The 13,097-nt window shown below is 38.7% G+C and overlaps 1 protein-coding gene across 2 annotated transcripts in view, besides 2 other annotated features; it reads right to left on the bottom strand.

Annotated features, from left to right (window-relative positions):
• Positions 1–10,653, bottom strand: part of NEIL3 (nei like DNA glycosylase 3) — a 61,395-nt gene extending 50,742 nt beyond the window's left edge. For both annotated transcript variants that reach the window (XM_047415894.1, NM_018248.3), the window contains exon 1: positions 10,418–10,653. In XM_047415894.1, coding sequence (XP_047271850.1) covers positions 10,418–10,573 — 156 coding nt within the window. In that variant the 5' untranslated portion in view covers positions 10,574–10,653. The remainder of the gene's footprint in view (positions 1–10,417) is intronic.
• Positions 10,483–10,572: an enhancer, noted in NCBI's record as "active region_22169". NCBI's record gives its function as "activates an Ori minimal core promoter by ATAC-STARR-seq in GM12878 lymphoblastoid cells {active_cell/tissue: GM12878}" and the evidence as "EXISTENCE:reporter gene assay evidence [ECO:0000049][PMID:35858748]".
• Positions 10,653–10,772: a silencer, noted in NCBI's record as "silent region_15818". NCBI's record gives its function as "represses an Ori minimal core promoter by ATAC-STARR-seq in GM12878 lymphoblastoid cells {active_cell/tissue: GM12878}" and the evidence as "EXISTENCE:reporter gene assay evidence [ECO:0000049][PMID:35858748]".

Below are 13,097 nucleotides of genomic sequence, written 5' to 3'. Positions count from 1 at the left end.
CAGCCTGGGAGACACAGCGAGACTCCGTTTCAAAAAAAAAAAAAAAAAAAAAAAAAAAAAGACAGCAGTCACTTCCTGTTCTGCACAAATCACAAAAAAAGAACCTGTTGGAGACTGTAGGTATATGCCACCATGTCCTCAAAGCTCAGTCTTTGGTTGCCCTTTCTGGGATGAACTCTAGTACCTATCAATAATTATCAAGCACTGGGAAGGCAGGCTTGAGTACTCAGTGAGGAAAAAACACATTTGCCTTCTTTTTATATAAGTCAATCTTTTAGAGCCCTGAATTGACAAACACCAAGAATCTTGATGCTTTTCTCCTTAACAGGAGACTTTAAGTCACTTAAATACACTTCAGGCCAAGTATAGATTACAATAGTGGGTTTTAAGGTAGGTTTCCATGACAACCAATTAGTATGTAAAAAGTTCCTATAAACTTGCCAGGACACTTTTAAGATGATGATATACAAAGCAGATATAGATCTTTGTCTCAATATAGATTAGGTTGTACATTTTCAGGATCTCAGATTTAAGTTCTTACTAACATTTTAAACCCACATTTATAAGTCAATGGTGAGAGCCTTGTTTCCCCACCACTCCAATGTCAACAATCTCTTATCTTTTTCCAACATTCTTTACTAGCAACTTGTTTTAGCCATACCCTGTGAAATTTTCTAGCTTTTCTTAGAGCTCCCAGCAGAGGCCAGGTGATGAATATTATCCCATTTTACACACACACACACCCTTCTCTCTCTCTCATATATAGTAGCGTTCCCTGCTTCTTCGGTAGGAAAGAATTTGCTACTACTGCCACTCCTGTGCTTTAATCTCCTTTACCCCTTTAGGTTTTATAAGTTACATCTGATGTAAAGGCATAAGAATGACACATTACACTTTGGGGACTTGCGGGGAGGGACAGAGGGGCGTGAGGGATAAAAGACTACACATTGGGTATAGTGTGCATTGCCCAGGTGATGGGGGCACCAAAATCTCAGAAATCACCACTAAAGAACTTATCCTTGTAACCAAACACCACTTGTTCCCCCAAAAGCCTACTGTAATTAAAAATAAGAAATTAAAAAAAGTTAAAGCTGAAACTCAACATCTATCTAATGTCCGATTGGCCAATTATGAAATCCTATGTCAGCTACCATATCACTGCTTCTCAGTGCACCTGACTGGCTCTCTTCCCTTCTTCCAAGATGGGAAACCATCTGACTGGCCTGCACTCACTACTTGTCTTCTCCCTACCTGGACCTTCTTTCTTCTGCTTAGTTCTGACTTTACCAGGTTTTATAATGGCTACTAGCAAAGAGACAGAGAAGTAACCTTGAAATAGACAGTGCTGTCACAACACCTAATAAGACAGTACACGAGTCCCAAATGTCTCATGTGAAGTCTGCTCACATCACCAAGTTAACAGCTTTGACAAGAACTTACACCATTTAGTTAAAAACTCCAAAAGCCAACACCTGTAACAGTTCATGTTATTCACCTGGCTTTGTCTACAACAAAAGTGGCACGTGACATCTGGAAAGATGATCCTCCTCCCCATTAAAAATGGCTGTTTACCTGGATAAACTCATTTTAGAAAAGTTTACTGACCTTCCACTATGTGTCAGGCCTTGTTCTAGATGCTTGGGATGCATCCATAAATAAAACAACTAAAACCAGCTGCCCTCGTGGAGTTTATGTTCTAGTAAGGAAAAAGAGTAGAAAAAGAGTAGGCAATAAACACAATAACACAGTATGTTAGAACATTCGGAAAAGAAATGGAGATGAAAAGGAGAGAGCAAGATTGGGGGAGGGTGCAACGGGTTGCAATTTTAAAGGAGCAGTCATAATTTCATCAAGGAATTGAAATTTGGGCAAGTTTTAAATAAGTGAGCCATGATCCAGGCAAAAGGAATGACAGAGCAAAGGCCCTTGTATGCCATGGCCCAGAGAACAAGAGGAAGAGTAGTAGATAGATTTTCTGATTTTACTCTATCAGTTCTGAAAACTTTGCCAATTTCCTGGGGAAGTTTTCTACTCCATGAAGACAACTGCCCCATTATCAAAACGCCCAAATCTAATTCAGCAGCACTGCCCCATTGAGTTTTGTTGTAACTGGCAAACCAAAATACTTACAGAAATAATGTGTAAAATTTTTTGTATCATTTAACCTCAAACCACCATATGACATACATTTCAGGTGAGATCAATTGAAAAAACAAACAGGAAAAAACTGACAAAAGTAAGGGTTCTTAATGGAAACCTCAACTTCTTTTTACCCCAATATTAAAATGCTTAGGACTCCTAATAATATTCATTAGGAAGAGACTCAAAACTAGCCATCCTGATTTCTACCAGAGATTTTCCCCCAGGGAATTCCTATGTGGTAAATGAGCCTATAAGATCCTGCCTCAAGATTCTATAGAACCTACACTGTGGGGAATATAGTTCCATGTACAGTTTATGAAAAGAACGGCTGAAACGTCCCTCATAACCAATGCTGAGGGATAGGTTTTTTTGAAAGAAGTTTTTATTATTTCCAGGATTTATGCCTCAAGGCATCAAAGGTTATCCTGGAGCAGACATCTATATCTGCAAACCTACTGTCATCTATCAGAGATTTTAGCAAGTTCTAACCATGGTGGCCAGGCACGGTGCCTGTAATTCCAGCACTTTGGGAGGCCGAGGCAGGCGGATCACCTGAGGTCAGGAGTTTGAGACCAGACTGACCAACATGATGAAAACTCTACTAAAAACACAAAAATTAACCAGGTCTAGTGGTGCATGCCTGTAATCCCAGCTATTTGGGAGGCTGAGGCAGGAGAATCGCTTGAACCCAGGAGGTGGAGGCTGCAGTGAGCTGATCTCTCAACAGCACTGCAGCCTGGGTGACAGAGCAAGACTCCATCTCAAAAAAAAAAAAAAAAAAAAAAAAGAAAAGAAAGTTCTAACCGTGGAAAATGATGTGGCCATTTAGCAAAACAAAGTTTTGGTGGCTAGTTCTTCAAACCTTATGTTTACTGCGCCACTTATTAACAAGAAAAAAGGTAATACGTTCCCTTGTAAATAAACTCTGTTGTGAAAGGAAAAGGAGTCAAAAATACAAAGCCCCCAATATACTTAAAATGCATGAGACCATTATATATCTTCACATGGCTGTCAATGGAAATTGAAATATGTTGTCCTAGCTGACAGAGCTTCAAAGAGAACCTCCAACTAAAGTCTTAAAGGTGTAATACACGTCTTATTTGCTCTACTGGTGTTTCACCCTATTCTCTGCAATTAAAAACAACATACAATATGATCTTTAAAAAATGAAAACTCTGAAATTACCAATGTTGAAAAAAGATGTTTATCGCCTGATGAATGTTAATATTGTAACATACATGTTGACAGAAGAGCAAGTGAAGGAATTCAAGGTAGATATTAACTTATAGAAAAACATTAACCTAAAAATATCAAATGACTTCAGTGCAGCAGAAACTCTTCTAGGTACAGATGCTATATGACCTTGGCTTGAATATGTTTAAGAATTCCTTTTTTAATACCCGATGGTATTTGGGTATTAAAATGCAATGTTAGTAAAACCTCTTCCTTGCTCACATATATAGTCTGTAATTCTCTCTGGGCCTAGGGTTTCCCCACCTGGACAGTAGGATAATCTTGAGGCTTTCTACCTGCCAAATTTCGCATAGTATTTTCTAAACCACTGTCATAGTACTTACTATACTGAATTATTACTTGTCTGTGACTTGCATTTCTCCCCTGTCTATAAGCTCTCTGGGGACAGTAACAAGTTTAGCTAATATCCTTGATGGCTTTACACAATGCCTGAGGTTCAGTGCACATTTGTGGGATTAAATAGATGCCTCCTCCTTTAGCTCTGAAAACCAAGTGTGGCTTTAAAATATACATTCACTTCTTCCCCTCCCACCATCCCCATCCTGCTTGACTCTTCCCAAGATATCTTGGCAAAATCTTCTACTCTACCATCTACTTAATCTCCTTTTAAAATTCATTAACATCCCAATATCTTATTTTCTAATTACCTGCAATGGAGTGAGATTTAAACATAGGAGGACCAAATCCTCATGACTACTAGAAGCTATAATGGAAGTAAAATACTCTACTTACCAGAATTTCCCATAAAATTAAATGAACCATATGGGAAGGTTTAGGGAGGAGTTCCTCTGTGTTTAGCAACCAGTCCTAGAATGCCTGGTTTTTATTTGACAAGTTTACTTAGCATTTAAATTGTTGCTCTAAAAAGATCTAATCCAATACAGTAGTTCTCCCCTATCCAAGGTTTCACTTTCTGTAGTTTCAGTTACTCACGGTACAGTACCATAAGATATTTTGAGAGAGAGAGATACCACATTAACTTTTATTACAGTATGTCATAACTGTTCTATTATTAGTTATTGCTATTAATCTCCTACTGTACCTAATTTATAAATTAAACTAACATAGGTTGTATGTATAGGAAAAAAGATAGCATATATAGGGTTCGATACTATGCATGGTTTCTGGCATTCGCTGGGTGTCTTTAAATGCACCTTCTGTGGACAGGTGGTACTACTGTGCTTAATTTTGGTTTTGAAATGACACATCAAGATTTTTTTATTCAGTTGTCTATCATGCAGATGGTTTACCCAAGTCAGCGGATTCCTGGTACTCTATCATTTCTAAAATAATCAGCTCTGGATAATATACTTGGGATAAAATAAAATTTTCAACTTACAATTGGCCATTGCAAGCACCTGGATATATCTTTCACTGTTCTTTTAAAAATCCATCTTAAGGTAAAATTCTGGTATACTGGTAATGGTTTGTTCTACTTGTTTTAAGAGCTATTGTGTACAAACTGGGCAAGGTTTTTGCAATAAACCTAAGATTTATAAGATATTCACTTGTCCTACCATAGAATCTAGGGTTATCACTGCTCTCTACAAGCTTTTGCTGCCCAAATTCAAAAACTAATTTCCATAAGCCTGTTATCTTTGCTATGACTATACGTAATTGTCCAATATACACTTGACTTTCCCATGTTGACCCTTATAATCCATTACTGTATTATTTGAACATTTCATCCTTTTTAGTTTTTTCTGAAATAAAGACGAAAATCTCCTTTGACACAAGTTTAGGTATGATTGAGAAGGGTTCACCTTCCCATTTTCAAGTGGCTTAATAATATGAAATCTTCAAAACAACATGTATTTTCAGAGACAGCACATGATTTATTGTGCTGATTACCATTTATCCTGCCTATCCATGGATGGACAAGAAAGACAAACTTTTTAGAGCAGAATAAGACTTTTCCATAGATAAATGTTTCAACCCTAGTGCAGTTAAGTATTTTCCCTATAGAGAAGAAAATACCATATTTACTTTCATACTCTCTCCTCTTTTCCTCACACACTTTTCCCCCCAGTACAACAACACATTTTTTTTTTTTTTTTTTTTTGAGACGGAGTCTCGCTCTGTTGCCCAGGCTCGAGTGCAGTGGCGCGATCTCGGCTCACTGCAAGCTCCACCTCCTGGGTTCACGCCATTCTCCTGCCTCAGCCTCCCGAGTAGCTGGGACTACAGGCGTCCACCAAGCTAATTTTTTGTATTTTTAGTAGATACGGGGTTTCACTGTGTTAGCCAGAATGGTCTCAATCTCCTGACCTCGTGATCTGCCCGCCTCAGCCTCCCAAAGTGCTGGAATTACAGGTGTGAGCCACCGCGCCCGGCCTACAACAACACTTTTTAATCAGAGATCTCTTAAATACCAATCGAAGTCATCAAAGAATATAATTTTAAAGTGATTTCTAAACAACAAAATAGAGGTCCTCAGGCCCATTCATCAAAAACATATTCTACAATTTTCTAAGTGCAGGACCTTCAAGCACTTACTCAGACTAAAGACTTTGTACCTTATCTGAAGGCACCAAATGATTACAAACCCTTCATAAAAATAGGGTGTTCCTCAGATAAATGGGTCTGGTGAGAAAGCTCTGATCCAGAAGAAAAAGGAACAATTCCCAGGATGTTTATTTTGCTAGGTACTAAGCTAAGAATTTTACATGCTGCTTAATTTAATCCTGACCAAATAAGCTAAGATGCAACAATAAGCATCTCCAGACGAGGAAGTAACAAAAAAATGGGAATTCAAAATCAAGATGATCAGATGCTCTCTTCTCTGCAGCATGCCGAATATGTTCATCTTGGATAAAAAGCTACAATGGCCATGGAAAATCACCTCCCCTTTTTCCTCCTTTGTAAGAATGTTTCTGTTCTTTGTTATCCCTTGTTTCATGATTCCATAGGATTCTGGATACCAATAATGATGATCTTGAGTCATTAAGGATAAATCATTATTAGTATCCATTTAAGAAGGTAAGGAAGTATATAATGCATGTTCTCTAAATTATTTAGAAATCCCCTTCAGATGCTTAAAGAAATGAGCCTCATTTTGCTGGAAAATGAATCTCTGTAGATTAGCTCATTTCTTTAAATAATGGCAATAAAATGAGCCACGATTTTTTTCCCCCACTTTGAAGAAGGAAAATTTACTACCTGGTTTATATTCTGGTAGTAGGAATTTCCATATAACATGCACAACAAAATATACACATTCTCATAATGAAAGAGTCCAAATGGAATTTATTTCTAAATCTTTAATCACTTTGCACTATTCAAAACCTTGTTCTTCTCCATCCATTCAACTTTTATTAAATGTCTCCTCAGTTCCTGACACTGTGAAGCATATATAACGATAAATAGCTGGCATATTAAATACATGTATCAAATTTTAAGGAGTGATGGAAATAATCAGACCATGTTTCAAATAAAATGAATGCTTATAAACTGTTTCATATCCTGTTTTGTGAGATTGAAAACACATGCAGATTAAATATGATTTCACTAAAATATTGTATCCACCCAACAATTAAAATCAAAGGATTGACTCTTCAAAGCTCATTAACCAGATATGTTCATTTATATTCCAATATTGTTTCTTACCATAAGTTTCCACAATCTCCAGCAGAGTTTTATGCAATTTGCTTATACTGTTGCACAATTTTATGCTGACAAGACAGTGGATCACGACTCAGAAAAATAATATAGTACATCCATGACTAGCAGATGCTGGGATCTTCTATGGCTAGGTTTTCTCAAAATGAGGATCAGTTGTCACAGGCAGACATGCATTCAAGTGTGTTCTCTATAAACTTTATACTGTAACAAAGAGGAATGCTATATGACACAGTAACAGTCCATTATGGCAATAACTACTGAAGTAGTGTTTTTTGGTTTGTTTTTTGGTATGATTATCTGAGGTTTAAATATTTTATTTTGAATGCCCATTAAATATTTCTTTAGCTCTCATTAGTAACTTTTTCCATGTTTACTGCACTGTAAAGAATGCAGTATGCAGTTATTAAATTATTTTTAAATGCTGCCTTGTGAAAACTAATCATTTCAAGCCAGTAGCAGAAACATTTAAATAGCTTTAACTCTTTGGCATAAATGCCTAGGAGACATGGGATCATCTGCTACAGTAATGATCTTGCCAGAGGTTTGTGACAACCTACCATGTTTTAATGAAATTTACTATGGATCCCTCTAAAATGCAAAAGACTCTTCATGTTTACAAAAGGTTATAATTATGTTTTTTTTTTCAGATCAAAGTCCCAGAAAATGAAGCCATAGTAAATTATTTAGAAATTTACCAACAGCCTCAAAGAATGTATTCCTTCCATATTGATTTTAAAATCCAGTGTCCATAGAACCAGATTCCTGATACTAACCACAAAGACCTATTCCAATTTTTAATGCCTCTTTCTATCAAGGTATCAAAAATAATACCTTTAAATGCCAGGCTTTTTATGTGTGGGGTATAACTTATTGAATATTGCTGCCAAGTGATGTTAATAATTGCCTAACCATTACTGACGCATTTGTATTATATTATCAGGCTGCACTCTTTTGTGCAATCCAAACATGGCCATAGAAGCTGTTAGAAGAGAATTATCAGAATAGATATAAGAGAATTGACTCAACCGAACAAAACTAAAAATGGTGGTAGACACAGCCAAAAATCCAAGATTGCACTTTTCTATTTAATAAATAACCACTACTATATACTGAGCATTATGGTGTTCTTACCGTTGTATGCTAAAAAAGCAATAAAGATCCTACTGAATCTTTTATGGCTGAGAGGAGCTATGGCATGGTTAAGAGGGTAGGCTTTGGAGTTTTAAAGAAAAATCAAACCCTGGTTTAGCCCCTTACTAGACATGTGATCTTGGGCAAATTTACTTAAAGTCACTCTGAGCCTCATATGCCTCATCTGTAGAATCAGGTTAATCCTTTATCATAGGGTTATCCTTTTTCATGACTGAATGAAATGTAAAAGCATCTCATGCCATACCATCAGAGATAATCACAACAAAACTTAAAAGGAAATGTTTAAGCTATTTTTCCTAAATACCAATGAGGTGATATTTATTTAAAACATTAGGTTGGACTCTCACAGCAGAAAGCATATCCTACTCATCTTCGTATCCGCAGGAGCTAGCATAAAACCTAACACAAAATACGTTGTGGTTGAATGATGTAAATGATGATATCCCTAAGTATATTCATGTCATATCCATTGCTTAGCCCTCCCATCATAGTGATTCTCTTGTCTTCATCTCCACCACCAGCACTTGACCCCAAATTTGTCACCTGGATTTCTGCAGTCGACTCCTAAATGAGAGGGCAGTGTCTACTCTGGCTTTCTTTCAGTCTTTTTCCTGTTCCAATCCCTGAGCTGCATGGCTTCTACTCACCCTGCACACCTCAGCTTTTTTTTTTTTTTTTTTTTTGAGACAGAGTTTCGCTCTTGTTGCCCAGGCTGGGGTGCAATAACGCGACCTCAGCTCACTGCAACCTCCACCTCCTGGATTCAAGCGATTCTCCTGCCTCAGCCTCCTGAGTAGCTGGGATTACAGGCATGCACCAGCATGCCTGACTAATTTTTTATTTTTGTAGGGATGGAATTTCTCCATATTGGTCAGGCTGGTGTTGAACTCCCAACCTCAGGCGATCTGCCCACCTCAGCATCCCAAAGTGCTGGGATTACAGGCATGAGCCACTGCACCCGGCCCACACCTCAGCTTTGCTACTTCCCTGGGGAAGCCTTCCCAGGTCTTCCTACAAGTCCTTAAAGAATCGTGTATCTCTCCTTCACAGAACTTATTAATTTATATTTCTTTAGGTGATTATTTAATGAATGTCTTTGTGTCTTCCCAACTGAAGTATAGGCTCCAAAAGAGGAAGTATTTGTTTTTGCTCCCCAGGTGTCTTGAGTATTCAAAATTTTATTGAATGAGTAATTTTCATAAATATTAATATTCTTAAGAAACCATCTAAAATCCATCTCTGTGGTACCCTGAAACGATTTTAGAAACACTATAACAATAATAAAAAAAAATAGGTACAGAGTACTTACTGGCATATCAAGTCAAAATAAACAAAAGGGCAATTGGAAGGAGATGTAAAACTTATTTTTTCCCAAGTTTGAAAATATATTTTCTTAGACTTAGAACCTCATTTCTTTCAAGTTGTAAGCATATGCTAATTTCATAGCAGGCAACTTTTTCTTCCAGGACCAAAGGCTATAAGAAGCTTTGCAGAAGAAATTGAAATACAGTGCAATATTGCATGTAGGCATGAAATACAATCATCCATACATCTAGAGGGCTTTTAAAACATGATGCCTTAATCAGAATATTTTTAGTACAAGTTCTGGCCAAATGAATACCACATCGTCTGCAATGAATGCCTGAGTGGCAAGAAGCTGTGCTAGTTTACTTTAAAAAGAAATAAATTCACTTAAGGGAACCAGAACTGGGTTTCATTGCCCCTTAATTAGATGGCAATATGAAGTTGAGTGAGAAGTTAGTGCTAAATTTTCTACGTGTAGTTTTAGAATTATATACTAGTTGTGATATACTTACCAATTGCAGATTAGCCAAGCAAGAAAGTAGAATTTTATGCTAAAAGCTTAAAATGGGACGAAGAAAACATATCAGAGGTAGCAGAGATTTGATAATATCAATAGTAAAAAATGCAGCTGTAGACATGGGAAACCATGTGTGTATCATAAAGAAGTTAAGTAAGGTGACTCGGATAAAACACCTTCACTGGATTCCCCTAGGGCATCTTGCTCCGGCAGCGTGAGCCCAGAACGCTAGCCCTCCTCTCCTGCGCAGGCGCGCTAGGACCGACTTCTCCCTACAGTAAAGTGACGATAAACTCTGTGAAAGGTGGGACCCCAGGAAACCTGGGCCAGAGCAAAGAGATGACACTTTAAATCCTGGAACCCTGATGGGGTCTTTATTCCATTTCCCCCCTGCTGACTGCATGGCCTGTTACAGGAGTAGCTCACCTGCGGGGAGACCACAACCGTGGAGGCTGCGAGCCGCAAGGCGCGGCCCTGCAGACTCCGCAGAGCGCTTCCCCGCACGCCGGTCACCGCCTGGCCCGGGAGCACCCGCGCGCGAATCTTCTCTCCATTCAGAGTACAGCCTGGTCCTTCCACCATCTCTGTGGCCGGCACTGTGGCCCACCGATTGCAGGGCCTGGTGAGAATACCGCTGTGCAACTCAACGCTGCGCGGGCACTGACCGCACGCAGAGGAAATTCAAATCTCGCGCGCGTCTGGCCCCGCCCAGGCCCCGCCCAAACAGCACCCTAGCTGTTGAGGTCGCTCCCTACGGCGCATGCGCTGTGGTTCACCCCCGCCCTAGGTCTTGCTGTGGGTTTATTAAGAAAACGCAAACGCGCGTGGGGCGGGGGGCGTGGAGGACAACTAACTAGGCTGAACTGTAAAAGCAGAAGAAATTGGGACTTGGAAAGCTCTGAATGTATTTTCTTTGCGTTAAAGTTTTGCCCTTGTCTTTGAGCTACTTAGTATACACACATTTTCTGATCTGGTCCTCTTAATCTGTCCTTGTCTGTGACAGGACAGATATGTCACAGACAATCTTGTTTTTGGCTCTGTTTTTGGCATGCTATATTCGGACGTGGGTGGGATAAGAGAAACGAAGAAGAGGGTTTTTGGAACAAACAGCAGAATATATTCTAGTGTCTATATTTAAAAACTCCATTATTAGATAGTTAAGTGAGCCCTACCTAAGTGCATGCATCCATTTTGTAAGGGGACGCCCCAAGATGAAAGCTATATGAAATTGCTTTGTTAAACGTAGAGGTTTATATAAATTTGAGGGTAATGCGTAGCTTTTCAAATTTACCCACAACCCTAACCAAAGATGCATGCATACATATAAATCTATGAAGTTTATGACTCCATATAGTTTTGTAAATTATAAAGTGTATTCTTTTTTGAAAACTGAAATACTACACATTAAAACAGAATGTCAATTTCTAAGTGATTTCATAAGCATAGCACTGTGCTGCCGTTAAACCACAAGAGCATATACACAGGTGGTTGCTGACTTAGGATGCCCCAGCGTAACAGTGTTTTGACTGTATGATGGTGCAAAAGTGACACACAGTAGAAACTGTACTTTGAGTACTCATATAGCCATTCTGTTTTTCATTTTCAGTACAGTAGTCAATAAATTATTCAACACTTTATTATAAAATATGCTTTGTGTTAGGTGATTTTTCCCAACTGTAGGCTAATGTAAGTGTTCTGAACACATTTAAGGAGGGCCTCGTGAAGCTATGATGTTTGGTAGGTTAGATATATTAAAGGCATTTTCGACTTACTGTATTTTCAGTTTACAACGGGTTTATCAGGACATAACCCCATCGTAAGTTGAGGAGCATCTGTATACTAGAGAGTTGAATTTGAATATACTGAAGACTTGATTGAAATTTTGAAAAGTATTAAATCTTTCCTTTGCAGGGAGAGATTAGTGATCAAAAGTTGGCTGGATCAATTTCAGGACTATTTGTACTTTACTCCCTTGTTCAATTCAATAATCTCTGTCCTTTGATGGAGAAAAGTCCTATATACCTTCTCCTCTTTCAGCGTTGTACTAGTTATTTATTGTTACCTCATCAATTATCCCATTTGTTATTTCAAAGTTTCTGTGGGTCAGGAATTTGGCAATAGTCTAGCTAGCCAGAGTCATCCTGGCTCAGCATTTCTCAAGAGGTTACAGTTAAAATATTAGCCAAGGCTAAAGTGCCCCAAAGGCTTTTTGTAGCTAAAAGATCCACTTCCGAGATGAGTCACTTGCATGGCTGTTGGCAGGAGGCCTCAGTTTCTCACCTCTTGTGTCTCTATAGTGCAGCTCGGCTCTTCTAATGACATGGCAGCTGAGAGTGTGATCCAAGAGAGAAGTCAAGGAGAAAGCTGCAATGCCCTTTATTACTTAGTCACCCTTTATTACTTAGTTTACTATGGTAACTTACTTCTTATTCCATTCATTAGAAGCCAGTCATTAAATACAGTGCATTCACAAGGGGAGGGGAATTAAGCTGTGATTTGAAAGGAGGGATATCAAAGAGCTTGTGGACAAATTTAAAAAATATCAACCTGTTCATTTATCTGATTCACCTCATTTCTCTTTAAGGTGTTGTGTACTGTGCACATTTGGGTCAAATACGATCTTTAATTAGTAAGAGTTGGGGACTGACACTGAAGGCATTAAGAGATTTCACTGGCGTGACTGAAAGGCGGAGTCAGATTTTGTTTTGTTTTGTTGGCTGGAGTGCAGTGGCCTGACCTTGGCTCACTGCAACCTCCACCTCCTGGGTTCAAGCAATTCTCTTGCCTCAGCCTCCGATGTAGCTGGGATTACAGGCACCTACCACCACGCCTGGCTAATTTTTGTATTTTTAGTAAAGACGGGGTTTCACCATGTTGGCCAGACTGGTTTTGAACTCCTGACTTCAAGGGATCCACCCGCCTTGCCTCCCAAAGTGCTGGGATTACAGGCATGAGCCACTGCACCTGGCCCAGATTTTGTTTATATGTGACTAGCCTCTGAGTCCTTTGGTATATCTCTTTGATCTTGCTTCTTACGTCCAATCAAAAGCAAACTCGCATACGCTGTGTATCTACATTGTCTGTAAAAAGAGCCCACAACATTGCA

This window comes from Homo sapiens, chromosome 4, assembly GCF_000001405.40.
Source record: "Homo sapiens chromosome 4, GRCh38.p14 Primary Assembly".
Classification (NCBI taxonomy): Eukaryota; Metazoa; Chordata; class Mammalia; order Primates; family Hominidae; genus Homo; species Homo sapiens.
This window is presented reverse-complemented; position numbering and strand designations above follow the sequence as displayed.